The sequence below is a fragment of the Homo sapiens genome, chromosome 1 (assembly GCF_000001405.40).
Source record: "Homo sapiens chromosome 1, GRCh38.p14 Primary Assembly".
Lineage (NCBI taxonomy): Eukaryota > Metazoa > Chordata > Mammalia > Primates > Hominidae > Homo > Homo sapiens.
In genome coordinates, this window is record NC_000001.11 from 145,053,396 (window position 1) to 145,075,066 (window position 21,671).

At 42.7% G+C, this 21,671-nt stretch overlaps 1 protein-coding gene across 9 annotated transcripts in view, besides 3 other annotated features; it reads right to left on the reverse strand.

Annotated features, from left to right (window-relative positions):
• The window catches only part of SRGAP2B (SLIT-ROBO Rho GTPase activating protein 2B), a 208,093-nt gene that overhangs the window by 166,108 nt on the left and 20,314 nt on the right, over positions 1-21,671 (reverse strand). The window contains exon 3 of one of the 9 annotated variants that reach the window (NM_001385228.1): positions 9,239-9,324. The exons of the other annotated variants lie outside the window; for them this stretch is intronic. Coding sequence (NP_001372157.1) covers positions 9,239-9,324 — 86 coding nt within the window. The remainder of the gene's footprint in view (positions 1-9,238; positions 9,325-21,671) is intronic. 9 annotated transcript variants of the gene reach the window in all.
• Positions 10,590-11,353: an enhancer, noted in NCBI's record as "OCT4-NANOG-H3K4me1 hESC enhancer chr1:143944389-143945152 (GRCh37/hg19 assembly coordinates)". NCBI's record gives its function as "activates a minimal SCP1, AML or CMV promoter by ChIP-STARR-seq in primed H9 embryonic stem cells {active_cell/tissue: H9 hESC(primed)}" and the evidence as "EXISTENCE:reporter gene assay evidence [ECO:0000049][PMID:30033119]".
• Positions 15,873-16,865: an enhancer, noted in NCBI's record as "NANOG-H3K27ac-H3K4me1 hESC enhancer chr1:143938883-143939875 (GRCh37/hg19 assembly coordinates)". NCBI's record gives its function as "activates a minimal SCP1, AML or CMV promoter by ChIP-STARR-seq in naive H9 embryonic stem cells {active_cell/tissue: H9 hESC(naive)}" and the evidence as "EXISTENCE:reporter gene assay evidence [ECO:0000049][PMID:30033119]".
• Positions 20,404-20,904: an enhancer, noted in NCBI's record as "H3K27ac hESC enhancer chr1:143934844-143935344 (GRCh37/hg19 assembly coordinates)". NCBI's record gives its function as "activates a minimal SCP1, AML or CMV promoter by ChIP-STARR-seq in primed H9 embryonic stem cells {active_cell/tissue: H9 hESC(primed)}" and the evidence as "EXISTENCE:reporter gene assay evidence [ECO:0000049][PMID:30033119]".

Below are 21,671 nucleotides of genomic sequence, written 5' to 3' on the forward strand. Positions count from 1 at the left end.
TGGTCACAATGTGTCAGATGAAGGGCAAGATCAATTCTCTGGGCCTCTTGCTTCTACATCTCTTATAGAAAGTTACCATCATCAAAATCTTTCGCATCACTCAAATCATCAACAATAGTTAGAAGAACAATAACACACACAAAAAAATTAGTAGCAAAGATAAGCCAGTACAAGTAAGTGTGACACAGTCCAAACCAACCTGGGCACATTCTCACAATCCCTTGGAAATGACTTTACCTGAAGGCTACGTGACTCATTTAACTCGGCACTAAGATGGAAAGGTCTAGGGCTCTACAGAAGTTCCTAGTAGGAAAACTTCATTCTTTTCCAAGCCAGGTCTCCAGGGCCTGGCTCTGACATGGTTACCACTTCCACGGAGAAGCTGACAACAGCTGGTCACATTCTTTTCTCTACCCTATTCCTCCCCATCAGGTGAAGATAGCTAACTGCCATGTATCTTATCTAAGGAGGCTAACTTGCAGCAATGATGTGGCATGACAAGTGAAAAGTAATGGGGATCTTGAACAGTCAAAGTACACAGTTAACATAAACAAGAACATGCTGTTCACCAAGTTAACAGTTGTCAAGTCTACAGCCGGTATTTTCCCTATATTCATTTCTCATAAATCTATATCAAATCAGGAGAGGTGGTGAAATGAGGCTCTAAGCTTCCATGCACCAATCTTAAGGAAAAAAAAAAAATGTCTTTTCTTCTAAGAGGGGCGCCCTGGCTATAACCTCTTTTGAGGTGGCTGAATGGGCTTGGTGTTCTGAGTAAAAAAGAAACAAAAACAAATTTTTTTTCCCATTTAGAGAAATGGAGAAATTAAATGGTTTATATACAGACCCGATCCCTTTCATAAAGTTCGCTTGGAGGTAATACCACAATTTCAGGCCCTCTTTGAAGAAATACCATCTCGTGTTGGGTTCTAATTAAAGATATGCTGTTTTGCCGGGCGTGGTGGCTCACACCTGTAATCCCAGCACTTTGGGAGGCCGAGGCAGTTGGATCACCTGAGGTCAGAAGTTTGAGACCAGCCTGGCCAACCTGGTGAAACCCCGTCTCTACTAAAAATACAAAAATTAGCTGGGCGTGGTGGCGGGCGCCTGTAATCCCAGCTACTCGGGAGGCTGAGGCAGGAGAATCACTTGAACCTGGGAGGCAGAGGTTGCAGTGAGCTGAGATCACACTCCAGCCTGGGTGACGGAGCATGACTCTGCCTTAAAAAAAAAAAAAAGATTTAAAACATTAACCTGTAAGTTGTCAATATTAAATAATAAGCATTTAGGGTAAGGGCTGGATGTATAATACTATACTAAGTCAAGAAAGTTCAAAATACAGATCATTCAGTAACAGTGGCAGTGACAAAAGAGATCCTGGCTAATGCCACCACCATCCTAATCCTGTGGGAAAATGCCACCAGGAAACATTTCTATCAACCACACCATCAGATTGGGAAGCTGAGTAATTGGTCCAACTGCCAGACATTGATATATTCAAATCAATTAATCGGTAGTCACCAAGTGACTAAAAAGTGGACAACGCTCCACTGTGTGCTACAGTATACATCAGGCATTTCTAGTTCTAGTCCTAGTCCTGCTCTTAACTTTCAAAGGCAAATCAGGTTCAACCTCAATGTGAAAGAATAAACAATAAATCAGAGAGCATTTATTATAAATTGCCAAAGAAGGTTTAGTCCAGTCAGCCAAGGTGCCCCTCTATTTCTCAAATGCTAAACCCACTCAGAATGAGAGGAGCTGCTCCATCAACCGAGTAGATCCAGATGGTCTCCGTGGAAGAAGCAGCACAGCTGAGAAGCCCACTGCTCAAGACTACATCTGCCCTTTCTCTCTAGATCCCTTAGAAAACAGAGTCACCCCTCCTCCATCTCAGTCTGAGACACACAAAGAATGAAACTTTCTACAAAAGAGGAAGGTCTGAAGGACACTAGCAACTGTCATGAGTTTCCCTATGACTCGAAGCCTCTTGGCTCTAGCATAGGGCAGCCATAGTCCACATTCAGAAGCATCTTGTTTCCTGTTCTCTAGGTTAGAGACCCAGCTAAGAATAGCACCCCATTCATGCTGCTGTGTACACATCCTTTTCACTTGCTATTTTCTCTCACACACGCATGAAGCCCAGGTCTTGTACATTCTCCAAGGTAAATGCAAATATTTATAAACGGGCACAGAGTAGTGGTTTTATTCCCTGTCCAGTCTACAAACAGGCACTACCTAGAAGAATTCCACTCCAGAGCTGAGTGACACAGGAGTAGCTGGGCCACAGGCTCCCTCTCTGAAGTTCCAAATAGAGACTCACACTCGGAAATAGTAACCTAGTGGAAATACATATAGGATGCCCAGTACCTGTGCAGAACTTCACCTCTGTGCATGACCTGAAACCAGAAGTCTGTAAAATTGATCTCTTTTTATTACATGGAACCATGTGAAATTATCAACAAAATGGTAATTTCATATGATTTAACCTAAAAGAATCCTAAAAAGCAAATCAGGCATTTAGCTAACAAACAAGAATGCAAAATCAATTGTTTCCCAGGTGGTTCCACTATGGAACACCTCGTAAGACAGGCCGAGCATTGATAAGAAACATCTATTCGCTCATGGTTCCATGTTTATATCCATATTTGTTCCTGGCCCTCGAGAGCTCACAAAGGAACAGGCAAGTGAACAGGCAAATACCGCACAGTATGGAAACTACTACTCTACAGAGACGTGCAAAATAAGAACCCTATATATAACTCAATTACAACATTTCTCAATTACACTGAATTCTGCCTGTTTGTTTGTATGTGAGCCTCACCAGTGAGATGATGCACGCTCAGAGGCAGAAACTGTATTTCTTTGTCTTTAAATCCCCAGCATACAGCACAGTTCTTGCACATAGTCAATGCTAAATGATGTTTGTCCAAAGACTCAATGACTTAGAGGCCAAGCGGCCTCTGTAAAAATGAGGTGAGTAGTGACATTTCCATTAATAACTTTGAGGTTTTTATATTTTAGACCAGACTATTAATTATAGCATTGGAAAGAGAATAACAGACTCCTGATTACAGAACTACAAAGAAAAGCAGACAGGGGGTGGCGGGGGGAGACTACACTTTATAATCAAAATAAATCTGAAAATATAGACTAAAGTCTGCCTCTAACTGGGAGTGTGGCAACATCTTTTTGTCTCTCAATTTAATATCTTTTTATTTCAACTGATTTTCCTTACAAGTACAACAGAACCATCAAGTGCAAAAGGAGTAAAAGGTGTTCTGCAAACAAAAGCAAAGGGGACAAACCCAAACCACCACAGCTCAGGTGTGAGGGGTACTTGCCATGTGTCTTTTGGAAAAGAATGTCCACTGGTGGATGGGAGGAGATGGGCACTATGCCCTCCAGGAACTTGGATACCTTTTATGAGTTCAAAAAAAGCCAAAAAAACAATCAAATTCATATGGATACCAAGATAGGTAATTAAATGTTGAATTAAAGATCAACACGAGGGCAGAGATTAGGCTGACTTCCAGGTGGTCAGAGTTGAAGGAGATAAAACACACACACACACACACACACACACACACACACACACACGCAAACTCCTCCCAGCATTAAAAAATAATAATAATAAAAAAGTCATTTGGGTCACCTTTTAAATCCATAAAGCAATCATTTCTAAAAGAAACAGCAGGTACAAAACTAGCCTCAAGAAAAACCCTCATCTTTCAAAGCGGAATATTCTGACATAGGTTCGAGAAGACTTCCCCTCCCATCAAATAACCAAAGCTTTGGGAAAGGGCAGCACAGAGCTCTCCCTAATATGAAATATTTTATCTATACATTAATTTCTCAAGAGACACTGACCCAAGCACCATACTGCTTCGGAAGTAGAAGTCTTTATCTTAATGAATTGATCTCATCAATTTAGCTGTACATTTGATCCCAAGACCCTTTGTGGACCTGATAACCCTGGGGAGGCCCTTAAGTGAAGCTGTCCCTAGGGTGGCCCACTTCATCACAGAGACCAGCAGACAGGAAAGGGCCATTGGGGAGATTCTTATTTTATTATGTAAGTCAGAGGAAGCCACGTTTAGCTCCTCTGCTCTACTGCAGCATCCCTATTTGTACCTGGTATAACCAGCAGAGGTAGAAAAGGAAGTCTGTCTGCATAAATGAAAACAAGGGCTAGCCACTCCCGTCTGATGGTAGGTGGTCCTCCACGAGTACCTAACTACGAACACCCACAGTTAAGTTTCTCTCTCTTCTTCTCTCTCAAACCCATTTCTTTTGTTTTTAGGGGGGTTTTTGTTAGCTTGTTTTTGAGACAGGGTCTTGCTCTTTCACCCAGGCCAGAGTGTAGAGGCATGATTACAGCTCACCGTAGCCTCGACCTTCCGGGCTTAGGTGATCCTCCTGCCTCAGCCTCCCAAGTAGCTGGGACCACAGGTGGGCGCCACCAAGTCCAGCTAATTTTTAAATTATCTGTAGAGATGGGGTCTCCTTATGTTGCCCAGGCTGCTCTCGAACTCCTGGGTTCAAGCAATCCACCCACCTCAGCCTCCCAAAGTGGTGGGATTACAGGTGTGAGCCACAGCGCCAACCCAAACCCATTTCAATTTACTCCCAAGGAATGGAAGAAGTAACATAAATGGCAAAGTGCAAAGGTCAGGTTCAGCAGCCCTATGGGAAACGCATAGGCTTTAGAGGCAGACTTTGGGATCCTGGATCCCAGTTCCTAGGACCTGTGTGACCATGAGCACGTATCTTAATTTCTGAGCCTTAGTTTCCTCACTTCTGAAAAGAGGACAATAATATCCACCTCACTAAGGTGGTATGGGATAGTTGCTATGTTTGTTTTGTTTTTGTTTTTAAGCCTCTAAGGCCAGAGGCTTTGTGAGTGCTGGATGACTTCATTTCTAGCTCAGGCAAGCAGAAACTGGATATGAAACTGAAGAAGAGTGACATCCACATATGGCCTAGGCGTGAACAAATTCTGCTTGCTTGCATGCGTGCATGGCTAGGACGCTAGCATTTCAAGGAGCCAGCTCCATGAGTTTACAGCCAAACTGGAGAACCATTCCATAGTGATGAGTACAGCACATTTACACAGACATGCTCAAAAGCACTGCAAAATTCTCTCCCTAGTCTAGAATTCCTGAGTTGGCCAACTCTACACAGTTCAGAATAAAACCCAAAGACTGCCAAGACCAGTCAATGTCTTTTTTTTTTTTTTTTTTTTTTTTGAGACGTTGTCTCACTCTGTTGCCCAGGCTAGAGTGCAATGGTGCGATCTCAGCTCATTGCAACCTCTGCCTCCCGGGTTCAAGCAGCTCTCCTGCCTCAGCCTCCTGAGTAGCTGGGATTACAGGCGCCCACCACCATGCCCAGCTAATTTTTTTGTATTTTTAGTAGAGACGAGGTTTCACCATGTTAGTCAGGCTGGTCTCGAACTCCTGATCTCGTGATCCGCCCGCCTTGGCCTCCCAAAGTGCTGGGATTACAGGCGTGAGCCACCGTGCCTGGCCCAATGTCTTTCTTTTTAAGGAACATAAAGTAATCCGAAAAAGACCCAGAGATTTCATTCTAATATGAAATCAGTCTTGCTAATAAAGTTACTGCCTCTATCAAAATCTATAATCTTCTCAAGATATCTGTCAAAAATTGTAACTGTTGCAGACATGTGGAAAAACTGGCCACACAGCAGCATAAACTCCCTCTGGCTAAAAAGTACATCAAAAATCTTTTCATTCGGCTGAGAGCAATGGCTTATGCCTGTAATTCCCAGCACTTCGGGAGGCTGAGGCAGTCAGATCACCTAAGGTTGGGAGTTGAAGACCAGCCTGGCCAACATGGTGAAACTCCGTCTCTACTAAAAATATAAAAATCAGCCGGGCATGGTGGCGCATGCCTGTAGTCCCAGCTACTCGGGAGGCTGAGGCACAAGAACTGCTTGAACCCAGGAGGTGGAGGTTGCAGTGAGCCAAGATCATGCCACTGCATTTCAGCCTGGGCGATAGAGGAAGACTCTGTCTCAAAAAAGAAAGAAAAAAAACTTTTAACTTCCAGGCCAGGGTGTCTTTATATCAATTTAATGCCAACCACAATACTAGCTACGGCTCTTCTTTGGGGAAGGGGGACTAAAGAAGGTGGCCTCCAACTGCTATCTCTTTCCCTTTGCTGCTGCCTCCTTCCAACCTACAAAAAAGGAAAGAGTCTGACATTCAGAATTAACCTTGCAAAGAAATTCTGTTTGCCAGCCCACAGGCATTTTGTTTGTTTGATTGGTTTTTCTGCTGTTGCCACTGCTGTCACCTTCCTGACCAAGAGGCCCACAGACTAGCACTTTTTTAGATTCATTTCTGGCAGTGAGTGGGTTTGTAAAGATTGCATTTGTAGTATCTGCTGGGTCCCAAAAGTGTGGAAGGACAAAAGACCATAGCCTTCTCTTAAATTCAGCTCAGAACCAACCTCGCACCTCAGCTAGAAAAATCACTTCCATCAACACTGCTCCCAAATGGAGCCCTTCCACCCTCTGCCCAGCTTCCAAGCCCAGGCCCTGAGACCCACACTGCTGTTTGTTTCGGCACCTGCAAGCAGCTTGTTCACAAGCATCCAGACTACAGAGCAAGAGGAGTTTCAGAAGGGCCCTCCAACAAGTGAGTGGCCTGGGAAGAAAAGTGACAGGCAGGGTCTAATGTCCCACAGTAGCTTGTTTTCACTGCCACTTTGGCATTACCTACCATGGCCAGCAGCTATTCAAACACTCTGCCCAATGCCCAGCCACAGGATCCTATTAATTCTCTTCAATTAAGAGAGGACCTACCCTGGTTCCCAGAAAGCCAAAAGTAAGTGTCAGTTTCTCCCTCTAGGCAGTCTCTAGATTTAAGGGTTCCTTTCACCTCGCCTAGAAGGGCCCTCAACCTTGAAAATAAGAAGCAGCACTATGAAAACAAACTACCCATTTCTCAACTGTTCAAAGATTAGACCTTGTACCACCTCCTTGCTGGCTCCCAAAGAGACCTCATCTATAAATGGAAATAATAACACAACATGCCTTGTTGTGTCTTCTTTCAGGGCTGTAGATATGAACTAAGATAACATACACACTTAGCATACTGCCTGGCACACAGTAAGCAGTTGATAAATATTACTTAGTACTGATATGATTTTTATTATTCTAAGAATGAGTTGTAGTTATTATTAAGAGAGTAATCTTTCTAAAATACATATTGTTCCAACCCAAGCCTAAAAGCTCCACAGTCAATTTTCAGTTTTTCATGCAAACACAAGGAACCAGTATGGCAAAAATCCTAAAAAATAGATACTCTATAGGTTCTCATTTGGATTTTGAGTACATTATGTGCAGTAATACATACATATATCCATCTATTCAATAAAGAGCTGTTTGGCACCAACAAATATATAGCACTGAACTAAGACATATATATGTCTAGTTAGTACTTCTGAGCACCTACTATAGGCCAGACACTATATCAGGAGACACTGGAGATACACACATAAGTAAGAAAAGGGCCCTGCCATCCAAAAGCTTATAGTTTAATAGAGGAATTATGATAACAGGTGCTAAGATAAAAGTCCCATAGCAATCAGTAGAGGCAAAAAGGAGAGAAACATACGGGTGATACTTTCTTAACTGACTTGCCAGCTTATGTGACATACCAACTTCTCTTCAAAATAAACTGGCTGAGTTGCATAGCACACTGGAGGCTGGTTGTGTATTACTCACATCTACTCCCACCAGCCAGGTTGGCTGCTTCAGGGTCAGTAGTTAGTTCACGCTAGGTATACTTGTTATTTTAATTACATATTAAATTATTATATAATACAAACAAGTGAAATATGAGTATAAAAAAGATATTTCTATGAAAAAGAGGTTGAATGCTTGGAAGAAATTTGAAGGCAAGTTGCTAAAAAAAATTGCTGCTGAATTAGATATGGGCAAGACAACAGTAAAAGGTTGTAGTGGTGGAGCTTAAAAATCTGGAAGAATTCTGCCCTTCATTTCTCAAATGTATTTAAGAACTTGGTTCACTTAAACTGGAAATCACAGATCAAATGTTAAGTGTATAATTTATGAAAGAAAGTCAACTGAACTCTACTTGAAAGATCCACACTTTAAGAAAAAGCCCTGGCCCACATAAAAAGATTTGTGAATATGTGTACATTCACTTTTTTTTCCCCCCTCTGAGACAGGGTCTCACTCTGTCGCCCAGACTGGAGTGTAGTGGTGTGATCTCGGCTCACTGCAACCTTCGCCTCCCGGGTTCAAGAGATTCTCGTGCCTCAGCCTCCCGAGTAGCTGGGATTACGGGCACCTGCCACCCACCTAGCTAATTTTTGTATTTTTTTTTTTTTAGTAGAGACGGGGTTTCACCATGTTGGCCAGGCTGGCATTTACATATTTTTAAGTTAAAATAAAATGCTAGCTAGATGATGACATGTGCCTGTAATCCCAGCTACTCAGGAGGCTGAGACTGTAGGATGGCTTGAGCCCAGGAGTTAGAGACCAGCTGGGGCAATAATAGAGAGACCCTGTCTCAAAAAAAAATTAAAATAAATAAAATGCTTGAGAACAGTTTTGTCTTCGTTTTTAAAGACTCTCTGTTTTAACTGACTTTTGGAATTAACTGACCAATTACTAGTCCAATTGCCCCAGATAAGAAGGTGTTTCCAGTATACCTGCCTATTTCTCAGGCTGATAGCAAAATGAGTTTATATTCATGCAGCCCAATCCAAGCAGGTAGCAGAAAAGGCTGCCTTGGGATTTTATAAAATAGACCTGTTAAATACTTCTCAAGTAGATCAAGTGCAGGTGGAATACTAAATTTTAGCCATATTTCAAAAGACTGAGATGCTAATGCCTGTGAACATGTGCTATACACTAACTACTCATGGCCTGAAGCACAGACCAAAAGGTGAATGATATCCCAAATGCCACCTCAGTTTTGGTCACAGGTCTGGATACAACTCATTGGTTGATCCAAGCATCTGATGTTCCACCTTGACATGTGATGCTATCTCTGGAAAAAGAAAATGTCGCAGGTGTTGAGAAAAGGTACAAGTACCAACTATCAAAGAGGAGTAAGATCCCTTCCCAAGACCCCTTTATAGTCAGTCTAATACCTTTCGGTTTATTCGCCTAGAATGCTGGACTTCTATACCACATAACAAGATTCCACACACTGAAACGGAACCAACATCATTAGCTTCTTACCAGTGTTCTGCCATCGAGATGCAGTCTGTCAAGAGAAGCAGCACAGAGTCTCATGTCAAGAGAAGTCTGCAGCGGCAGAAAGACAACTAAAAAGAGAGACTTCAGTGGAATTTGAGTCACCTGACATTAGTCTTAAAAAAGATATTTAAAATACAGAGAATCCCACTGATGGAGGAGAGAAAAATAACCCTCTTTTTTTCTTTAAAGACAGGCATTGATATGAGCGAAAGGAAAAGAACTGGGGAAGTCTTTGTATATTGAGAGCTCAGTTTATTTTTACTCTCTGCCAATAGAGGCAAGGTAATTCTATAAGCACCATTTAACTTTCTCACTACAAACAAAATAGAGTAAGTCGTATTAACGACTTACTTGCGTTCTAAACTTCCAGCTCCAGAACACTTTTTTCCCCCTGAAAATTAAATTGATTCTTACAGAATGGTACCCAAATGTGTGATTTCAAAGGCAGATCCCAAAACTGATGGGATCCTCAATGAGAGGATGAGGAGGCATTTTCAGTTTCAACTTCAACTTATTTTCTTCATTAGGGGTAGGCCTAGACGACTTCTAATTAAAATCCCTCTCTTTCCCAAACTCTATGATTTCAAAGAAACAAAAGGAAATGAGTTTCAACTATAGCTGTCAAATTTTAAGTCAGGTATCAGCAAGAAATTCCTAATTGGAAAGCTGTCAATCAATGAAACAGGTTTCAAAATAGGTTGTGGAATCTTCTTCCCCAGAGACAGTTAAAAATAGGCTAGGCAGCCATCTGTCTTGGTGGGATACAGCCCTTCCAGGAGGCCGGCATCAGAACAAAACCCTTCTTCCCTCCCTCCCAGGGAGTCCACTAATGAGAAGTGATTAAGGGCTATGAAGAATAAAGGAAGGAGACAGCAGCCCAACCAGGCCCATGGGCTAGGCGGCTGAGATTTCCTGTAGAAAGGGAAGATACAAGCTGCAAAGAGGAATATACAAGGGGAAAAACACAGGAAATAACCACAGGGCTGTGAGCATTTTGGGGAGGGCTGCACCAATCTGCTTCCCAGCTGCAACAGCTCAATTTGGTCCTGGGGACTGGGAGCTCAGCCACAGCTCTTTGGGGAGGGTATTATTCCCCTTCCTAGCTCCCAAACCCATGTATACATGAAGCCTAAGTGGAAAATGGGAACTGTCAAATAAATCCAAGATTTCCCCAGGTGACCAGCAGCATCCATGAAATAGCTCCAAAAAGTTTTCCTTTAAAATACATTGTCTTTTTTTGTTCCTTGCCACTTTCCTTGGCCATCTATAATCTTACCCATTTCCTGCAGTTCTTAACATTTCTTTCATTACTATGGAAAGCTCTCTTGGGGCACGAAAACGAATAAAACCTTCATGGACCTTTGGAAACCTAACCCCAATGAGAAATGGAAGAGACAGCATTGCTGTGGACTGTCACCTCTGCAAGAGTGGGACTGTCCCTCTTTGCAGACATGAGCAGCTCTCTGCCCCCATCTTTGTACAAACACTTCAGATATACACACTTGGGGCTTTCAACTAAGTCTCTGTTCCTGCTACTGTGTCTCCTGAAGAATACTGGAGTCAGCCATGCAGCACTGTCACATGGGGATTCAGGTACCCAGCTTTGCTGGTAGACAAAACACAGGAAGCCCACTGTTTACTAAGCTCCCCATAGTTCAAGAGGCCCCTGCAGGGGAAAGAAGATGGCAGTAAGGTCAAGGAATCAACATCAAGGACTCATCAAGCTGAGGTATGCAGCAAAGTAAAGATGGAGGCCAGGGATGGCCACCAGCTGTTAAGAGTTAGACACTGGGGAGTACAGGGCAAAACCAGTGCCTGAGGCTCAGTGCTCTCAAAAAGAATTTTTTTCTGGTTGAGGCTGCCAGCTAAGGAGAAACCTGAAGCTCAAGCATGCAGTCTGGTGATTTTTTCCCCCTTCAGCAAAGCCAGAAAAATTTGTAGAGATAACTAGAAGAAAATCAATACCATAGGGCCCAAGATTTAACAGGAGCCTTTGCAGAGAAGAAATCTGAGTCTGTCCTGTCCTTGCAGCTGTCTTAGATCAGAGGAGATAGAGCTTTTACTCTAACAGAAGATATCAGACTTATTGAGAACAGGAGATAACGGATAGGAAAGGGCCCTAAAAACTCAAATAGCCCAAAATGAATGAAAGAGATAATCATAATACACAGGGCTACTCCCAAACTGGGTGGCTAAATAGGAGCAAATAGAAAAGTAGAGACCACCATTCTGGATCATATCCTGTGGCCACCTGAGGGGCTTAGTGAAGGCACCTATCTTCCATCTTGCTGGTATGGAGGCAAAGCTGGCTATGAAAAGGAGCAGGCTCCCAACCTGCCTTTGCTGGATGCCACACAGCAACGCCGGGGAGCAACTCTGGTCCAGCACCTGGGTAAACAATGTGACTCTCCGGAATGTCCCGAACACTACAGTCAAAATCTAGGATTTAGGAACAGTATAATGGGGGATATCTCCCCTCAAAACCTAACTCAGTTACAGAGGGAGGGATCTGTCTAGGACCCGATCTGCTATGAAAGTTTCAATTATAAAACTTGGGGTTTGCTCATTTTTCAGAACTGGGATCTTCAACACCTTTGGGATTCATTCATCAGATATGGAATTCAGACTGCTTAAAGCCTTGGAGAACTGCAACTAGGCAGCAGAGAGCTAGCTGGTTTCTAAGGAGATCGAGACTGAGCAGACGATACAGAAGTAGAGCATCCTCTAGAGGTCGCCTAGTCCACCACCCCACCACCTCCTGCTCACTCCCACCCCTCCCCAGCAGCAGGCTACCAGGAAGCAAGAGCAGACAGGTGAGCTGGTGTCCTGTTTTTCAAGCTCTCCTGGGAAGGAGAACCCACATAATTTTTCTATAGCCTGGAGCTGGTAAAAGAAGGGAAGGAAGGAACTAACAATGGAGTAAGCAACCCACTAACTTCCCATTCACTCTCATAACTCAACATGATGAGGCAGGCTGGCTGCCAGCCAGGACTCTCTCCAGAAGGATATGGCTGAAGGGCTGTCAAGTCCGAGTGTGGGACAGTGAAAAGAGCATTGCATTAGACATCAAAAGACAGGGGGAATTGGGGAAGGAAAGAGGAAGATTAAAGCCAAGGACCGTGAAGGGACTTTTTGGGGTGATAGAAATGTTCAACCTATTGATTATAATTGTGGCTACACAAGTATATACCATTTGTCAAAACTCATTGAACTATAGGTTTCAAATAGTGAATTTTATTGCACATAAATTATACCTGAATAAAGTTGTTTTTAAAAGAAAAAACATGCATTCTAAATTCTGATCCTGCCCTATTAACTGTGTGACTTTGGCCATGTCACTTAGCCTACCTAATGCTTCAGTTTTCTCATATTTTAAATGGGATTACTAATTTCTGACCTGCTGGCCAGGTGAGATGGCTTATGCCTGTAATCCCAGCACTTTGGGAGGCCGAGGCTGGTGGATTACCTGAGATCAGTTCGAGACCAGCCTGGCTAACATGGCAAAACCCCATCTCTAGTAAAAATACAAACATTAGCCGGGCATGGTGGCACACACCTGTAATCCCAGCTACTTGGGAGGCTGAGGAAGGAGAATCACTTGAACCCAGGAGGTGGAGGCTGCAGTAAGCCAAGATCATGCCACTGTACTCCAGCCTGGGCAACAGAGTGAGACTCTGTCTCAAAAAATAATAATAATGATAATTTCTGACCTGCTTAGCTCACAGGATATTTAAGATCAGATGAGATATGAAATAAGACCCATTTTTAAAAGCACAAAATGCTAAGCAAATAGGAGGTAACTATAATTAGCTTGGTTCCACAATACTTGGGATCTCCCTGGCTATGTATTTTCTGGTGATCTTGAGAAGATTCTGTTTTATTTAATTGACGATGGTTCAAAATCTTTCCTCTGGAAAACCTTGACTGGAGTGTTCTTTCTACTTGCTTCAGACTATCTGCTTGCTCACCTCTCCACTATGTAAACGTAACTTACTGTGAGCGCCCAGGCCGTCTGGCTACTACAGATAAGCACCCCAGCCCGGGAGCACAGACGCTGAACGCAGCCGCCTGACCAGAATGCAGACACCAGGGCAGATACCATTCTGAAGCTGTGGACTCTTCCCTTTCTGGGGAAATCAGTGAGTTGATATTTTCTATGTTGCCACAGGGAGCTCTTTCTGGCAAAGGAAACGGAAAGAAAACGCAGGATCTCCTCACCAAAGCACAGAATGGGGAAAAACACCAAAGCCTGGGCAGTTGGGCAGTTAGGTACAAATCTACCAAGTGAGCAGACTTAACTAAAAGGGATTGTGATGATCTACTCCAACAATTTCATTTTTAAAATTAGGAAACGAGGCCGGGCATGATGACTTACATCTGTACTCCCGACACTTTGGGAGGCAGAGGCAGGTGGATTGCTCGAGGCCGGGAGTTCAAGACCAGCCTGCCCAACATGGCGAACCTCTGTCTCTACTAAAAATACAAAAATTACAAGAGCATGGTGACACACGCTTGTAATCCCAGCTACCGGGGTGGCTGAGGCACAAAAATCATTTGAACCTGGGAGGCAGAGGTTGCAGTGAGCTGAGATCACGCCATTGCACTCCAGCCTGGACAACAGAACAAGACTCTGTCTAAAAAAAAAAAAAAAAAAATTAGAAAACTAATTATCAGAGAAGCCAAGAGTTCAAGGCTAAGCAAAATTGTTAAGTAGGTCAAACTGGAGGTGCTTCAACCTTTTGATTTTAGCCCCATATACCTGCTTACTTCCCCCAGAGTGCCCTCCCTCACTAAACTGGCATCTAGTAGTCTTAGACCCTTATCAAAACCTTGTAAAGAAACAAATGGAATCTCATACTAAAGTATAAATAAACAGCTAGTCTTTTGAGTGAGATACAATAAAAGAATGTTTTAAAGAGATAAAGCTACCAGTAGAAGAGATGTCTTCAGTCTATCCACCTTCAGGGACCTTGACAATAGCCCTAAAATCATACCCAATAGGTGGTTTTGTACCCAGCTGTTGGCAAATAGGGTACCAAAGCTTGAAACTCTTCCAGATTAGTTCAAGTGGGCTTACAAAGAAGTTCAAGTGGACCTGCAGAGTAGTGGGTCTTATCTCCAAGCCCGAGCTGTAAGTAGCAACACTATTCTTTAGAAAGGCATTACATATCTTGCATAAATGAGAATCAGAGCTCCCCATACAATACTGCCACTGCCACTCTTCCTTGCAAATGCTCCTTTTAAGTCCATACGTTAAGAATACCATTCTGGGCTGGGTATGGTGGCTCACGCCTGTAATCCCAGCACTCTGAGAGGCCGAGGCAAGCGGATCACGAGGTCAAGTGTTTGAGACCAGCCTGGCCAATATGGTGAAACCCCATCTCTACTAAAAAATACAAAAATTAGCCGAGCGTGGTGGCGGGCGCCTGTAGTCCCAGCTACTTGGGAGGCTGAGGCAGGAGAATTGCTTGAACCCGGGAGGTGGAGGTTGCAGTGAGCCGAGATCGCACCACTGCACTCCAGCCTGGGCGACAGAGCGAGACTCCGTCTCAAAAAAAAAAAAAAAAAAAAAAAAACAAATACAGCTCCATGAAAGCAGGGACTTCCTCAGTCTTGTTAATAACTCTATCTCTAGCACCAGACCAGAGCCTGGTACATAGTAGGCATACATAATCATGTGTTGAGTACATGAATGAATTAGTGATTGAATGAATGAATTTTTTAAAATGCACTGAACTGAATGTCTCTGAAGACAGTGTAGGGCCCTCTGGTACCACAGAGGCTGTGTCATGGGTCATGCCAGTACTCACAAGAAATGTCAACGCTGGCATACACTTCACCAACAGGCAGATATATCTGTAAGATGCAGGGGTAAGTTCAAGTGCTTCCATGAGGCATTTCCGTAATTAATTATTAGCATTCATAGGCTAGATACCTATAATACCAACTTCAGCATCGATCTAAAGGAAACCTATTCATTTAAACTGACAAAAACATGCTGTCATTTTCATTTCCATTACAAAGCATGCCAATGCAGTAGAAACATTTTGATTGATTGAATGGCTTTCTCTCAATCTGCACGGCAACTGATCAGTTTACCAAGGGACAAATAGTTCAACAATTCAAGTCAAAAGCAGAGAAACCTTTTTTCTTTACTTATGAGGCATAAATCAGCTATTTAAAATATATAGAAATTACAAATAGTTAAAATTATCTTCTGGGAGATCCTAAATAAGGTAAAATGTGTGTGTGTGTGTGTGTGTGTGTGTGTGTGTGTGTGTGTGTGTGTGTGTGTGTATGTGTATATATATATCTCTCTCTCAACATGTAACCAGAAGAACTGCTGCAACTGCCTGTTGTAGACTGCCTCCACAGCCCAGTAAGTGATGTACCACTTCATCTCCATCAAGACCTTAATTCCTGCCCCTAGAGAATAAATGAGGTAACAAAACTGGAAGCACTTTGAGTCTCTAAAAGAAGCTATAGAAATCCTGAAAGAAGAAAAGACCAAGTACAAATAGAGTCTCTGAGAGGACAAAAAAAAAGTGTTGCATAAAAAGAGAGTCAAGGTGTTAATTGCTGAAGAGTCTTTCAGGTTGAAGAGAAGGATCCTTCACTATCCTGTATCCTGCAGCCCCTTCCTTCTTTTCAAGGAACTGCAGAGATTATGTCCGCCATTCCTATCAATTTGTTTATTCAGTGACCTTTTGACAGCCAAACTGCTAGGAGCTGCTCAGTTGCGGCACAGCCAAGCAGGCCTGCACAAGTTTCCACCACACCCAGGCTTCAGCTTGGTAGAAAATGAAAATGGTCAAGAGTTTTAATGAGTTGTTAATGATTTAAGTACTCACAGTGATATGCTTGCAAGATAAGACAAAAGGAACTTAGGAGCAGTGAAACCAAATCAAACCAATAATACATTCAACAGTGATGAATACAATTACACAACCTCTGCATACATTTAGGGAGCTTCCGAAACAGAATTTGGACTGGAACATCCCAAGGTCTAGCCTGCTTCCTCCACTCAGAAGCCCACCCATACCCTTGCTAAGAAAGTATTCTACTGTTTTCTTTAAACTCTCCTGGAATTCTATAGGCTTCCTTCATAATTTTACCTTATTGCTCCACAAAAACTTGGCTTCTAACGTCAACCCTACCTCTCATCTGCTTACTGAGGACAGGACGAAACTTGAGTTGTTCCCTGCAGACAAAAGTACAACGGTTGACACTAAAGATCGCCTATTTGAAGTAAAACTGGTTTTAAGCAGGTTAATGAACCCCAGGCTTACAGGTTCTTGCACTTGGTATATTTCTCTAACACACCCCAACAAGATAAGAGATTGGAAAATGGCTCCTTTGGCTGGTTGAGAAGGAATGTCATCTTTTTTTTTTTTTTTTTAAAGCGCTGATGGAATTACCCTGCTAGGGAACCAGCATGCATATGTCATTCCTTTGTACAGTATTTTTACAAGTATTTGATTTTGTTTACCCTAATTTATCCAACTCGGGAATAAAAAGGAATCTCAGATCTATGAGAAGGACCTCCAATTTCTCATTCTCAGCTTCAAAACAAATTAGTCAGTTTAACATTAGTCAAGACACAGGTTGCTGTGAAATAAGAATGATTCTAGGTCATGATTAAGATGGTTCTCCAAACTATCAACAAGACTGTCTAATCACCTGTTATGAACCCAACACTGTTAAACAGCAATGGCATGTACAAAAGAAGTAGGAAATAAAGTTCCTGTCGTCCACACCTAACAATCTAGAGGCAGCCTTCAATTAATTTGCTGATAGGGTGTATTGCATAATAAGTTTTATATATTTGTTGTTTGAAGTTCAAACACATTTCGCCATAAAAGGCATGCTATCGTGTTTCAGTTCTCATGCTGGTAGAAAACTGTCTTAGCCTCTAATGTAATTGAGATATCAAGTACCGTATGTGAAATGAAACATGATATTAAAAACTGGTGTAACATTAGAAATATCTGACATGTATCTGGTGCTTTGTGAGCTTGAAAGAGTTCTTCATCTACATAAACTTCACATCATAGTGTATTATGTGATGATACACGGTCATATTGTCAACGGTTGAAGAAATTGAGGCACAGAAAGCCTAGAAGCTTATACAGAGTCACACAGCTACTAAGTGGCAGCAGGACGCTCACGTTGGCCTTCCAACTCTAAATCCCGTTCTCTTTCCACTAGTGTAAAACTGAATAAGAAGCAGGTGTGAAGTGTTTTGTTTTGCTTTGTTTTTTAAGACTCATGGCTGAGAAAGAGGAAATTTTATCTGAGAAAGACAGGGAGGTAAGTGAAAACTTTTAGTGATTCAAAAGGAGGCTTAGGGGCACTTTTAGAAGCTTTCAAGGTTGACGAAGCTGGTGTTTATGGCTTTCATTTCACTTGGAGCCTCGTGGCCAGGCTTTTCCTCCTTTCAGATTTCTCACTGACTCTTTTCAAGTTCGACTGCCCTGATTAGAGTATGTTTTGTTTGGGATTTAACTCATGAATAGGAATACACCAACAGCAAAGAAGGGTTGGAACAGATTTCCTTGAGGTTACTGGACAAGCACTGGAAAAGAGAAGAGGAATGAGGAAGAGAAAAGTACAGATAAGATAAATTGCCTGAGGCAGAGTTAACTACACAGCAACCCTTGAAAGGAAGATACAGGGAAAAGGGGCTGAGGGAGGGTATTATTCTATGAAAGAGACATGGGACAGATATTGAGACAGCCCTCACCACTGTGCCATCAGGCCAGGGCAGCAGCAGCTGCAACTCAACTATGCGTAAATAGGTCTTTCCCTTATATGAAGGTCTACAGTTGAGAAGACATCTGTGAAATTAGCAGATGACAGCACAAATAATCCCACATATATGCCTTTCAAAAAATCTCTCTAACCGAGTAAAAATGCAAAGAATTTCATTCGTTCATTCATTCATCCAATACACATTTATTATATGCTAAGCACTCTGCTAGATGCTAGAAAACAACGATAAACAGAAACAGTCCCTGCTCTCAAAGAGCTCATAGCTTAGCAGACAAGAGATGTGTAAACAAATACGTGCAAAATAGTGTGATTGGTATGACCTCATTTTGTTAAATAGCGAGTACAGTATTGGCACAGTCATACTTCAAGCATGAACAGAGCCCAAGAGGTTCCCCAATGTGCTCAACTTGGCAGACTTGCTATTTATCATTTACCCATCCGTATTCAGAGGCTCGCACTCATGCTTAGGCCAAATCTCCATTATTAATCACATATTTACCAGCTAAGTCACTTTCCTAATGTCTACCCTACCCAAGTCACTGTTTTGTTTCTAAGAAGGAGGAAGGTGCGTGTTCATCTATCTCGCCCAAATTGTGTAAGGGCAACCTGAACTTGGGGCGGTGCAAAAGGGGTTCACTGTAACACGGCACGTCATTTCAAGTATGGCCCAGAAAGCAACAGGTGATTCACTTTAACAAACATACTTGAGCCTGTGTTATATAGGTCAAGTCTCATCAAAACAAACACCAAGAGATGGTCCACTTTCTTCTGTTGCAGCAAATAAAATCTTAATATATATTTGTTTGGGGTATGTAATTTGCAAAGCTGATACACAAGCATTACTTCATTTAGTCAACACAGCAACTCCTAGATGTAGGAATTATATGTTCATCCTATATCTGAAGAGGCTTGAGGCCAGGAGAGGTTAGAGACTTACCCAGGGCCACATAGTTGATGGCAAGGGTCAGAGCTACCACTGGTACCCAAGCCTCTGACCTCCAGCTGAGTGGTCTTTTTTCTACCAAACTGTGGCGTAAAACTCTCAAGCCAACTGTGGGTAATCTCTGTTACACAGAAAGAATTTATAAAGGAGGAGAGTAATAACTCCTATAGTCTCCTTGGATTGAACACATTGGATGAGAAGTACTCATAGGCCACTCTCCTCAAAATAGAAATAACACTAAAAATTCAAAGCCTTTGGAAGTGAGAATAGAATACATTAAGTTCAACTGCCAATATCTGAAATATAATTTCCTATAAATGGCTTTAGCCTGATCCCCTCTTTCAACATATCCTACAATCAAAATCTCCAATCAAATCCTCTATCAAAGCACCATCTCCCCATTCCAAAGTTATTCAAATTAAGGAGATCAACCACTTCTGCCTCCACACCCCGAAACAGCACCAGCACCACCTAGTCATGTTTTGCTGAACTCAGCCTCTCCCACACTCCCCAGGCTGCCTTTAAAAGAACTTGTTCATTAGCTGGCTCTTCAGTCACCCATGGGAGGTCAGGTGGTGGAGGGTGCTGGCAGGGCTTGACTTGACTTTTCTTTCATTCCCAGCTGACCCTCATAAGGGGCCTCCAACCAAACTCGGAGCAAGGCAGCTCAGAACTCCAGTTTTCTCTCTCCTTGTTTAGCTGTGCTCTTTCCCTACAGGGCACAGGGATAGAAAATGCTATTAATTCCTGCACACAAACACGAAGCCCCTTCAAGGGAGAATATTTCTGAAAGTGAAAGGTAAGAAGCTGCAAAAGGAGGTCAGGTATTTGGCACGTAAGAGGGGTGTCATCTATTTCACAGTTTCTCTGCAACATTCCCAATTTAGAAGAAAAGAAAATGACAGATTTAATGAAAGGCGGATGGGGGTGGCATTGTCACTTGCCTAATGAAATTCCTGCTTGAATGGAACTGTCATCTCAAACTCAGGGTATCTAAAATAATGCTCATTCTCTCACCAACTGCTGCACCTCTTCCTGGCTTCCATATGTCTATTTCTGCCATTGCCACCATCGTTCTCCCTGTCTCCCAAACTAAAAACCTCAGGCATTCCTGACTCTTACTTCACCCCTAGGCCCCACACCCATCTCGGCAGCTCATCTTCCCATCTTAGTGGTATCTCCTGATTACAGTGTGGTCAAACATAAGATCCAAGATAAAAGAACCAGCAGGCTTTAGAGTTGGACAGACCTGAGCTGCAGTCCCCATTCCATCATGGGTCACCATCACCTCGGATCATCTGCCTGACTCAAATTTCTTGTTCAGTAAATGGGGACTCGCAATTCCCTCACAGGTGACTCCAGTAATTGATCACATTTAACAGCATGTTTGCAGCACCCACCACAAGGCCTGGTATGCTGTGTGGGCAGGAACAAGCCTCTTGCCCCCAGCCAGGCAACTCAGAGCAACCAGGGAGTCCCTCTGAAATGACTTCATCACACTTCATCACTCTTCAACTCAGAGTGCCCCCACTGTTCTTTGTTGCCCCAGTATGAAGCCAGACTCTGGCTGATCTTCAAGGTCATCAAAAACTATCCAGTTCGATCTTACTCCTCTGTCTATAACTCCTCTGCTCCAGCCCAAGAGTCTACTCCCTCACTCAGCACACATTTATTGGGTGCCTACCACATGCAAACATGGTGCAGGAGGCTGGGAATGTTGAAATGACAGGCTGCCCACTGCCCACCCTCAAAGAACTCACAAGCTTTCTGGTAGTGAGTGTAGTCTGGGGGAAGGAGCGTGGGGGTGGGGGTGAGGGTGGATAAAACCATCATTGTATTAGGGTGTAGGAAGTGATGCAGGAGCGGTAAGCACGGTGGGGGCTGTGGGAACTCCACTGAGGGAAGACACACTGCCTCTGTTCTTTCCTCCTACTATCGACTTAGCCAAATCCTAGTCCATAAATCAAGGTCTTATTCATTCTGGCCCACACCTCTCCCATCTCAAAATTCCTCAAGTTCTTATCAACACCACTCATTTTCAGTCATCTGCTGGCTGATGTCATTTCTTGTATTGCTGTGGGTTATTTTTTTTTTTAACTACTTTCGTATAGGTAGGCTTTTTTTCTCCATGGTTTCTATGATCACAGACAATAAGGACTAGGCTCTAGACAGTTCTAAGTCTCTCACGGAAACTACATACTCATTATTTTGTGGAATAGTTGATATATTTGGAACTACTGACAACTGCAAAATAACACATTCCTTTCCCTTTGAAAAACAGGCACTTCCCTCGCTGCTAGGTTCTGAGTTCTGTGTTGTCTTACACTTTTCATCCAACCCAAGATGAGAGACGAAACCCTTGCTATCTCAAAAAACGATCCAAAATGTAATTTGTTTAAAAATGGTAGTTTTTAACTTTTAAAATTGTTCCATCTAAAAAGTTATTCAAATAAAATCTTAGCGGGACACCCAATATCGTGAACATAAAAGCAGAGCTATTCTGGTTGGAGCTGTGGGGACAGCCTAGTGCTGCTACCTCAAAGGGGAAAATATTTGACTCCCTCATCAGCAACCCCTGATGCACATCCAGCGGCAGCACCGCTACAGCATGATGGAGAACTCATCTTGCCCACAAATATGTATAATAAACTTAATGTATGTACAAATGAGACATTACAAATCAATGGGGAAAAAGATGAA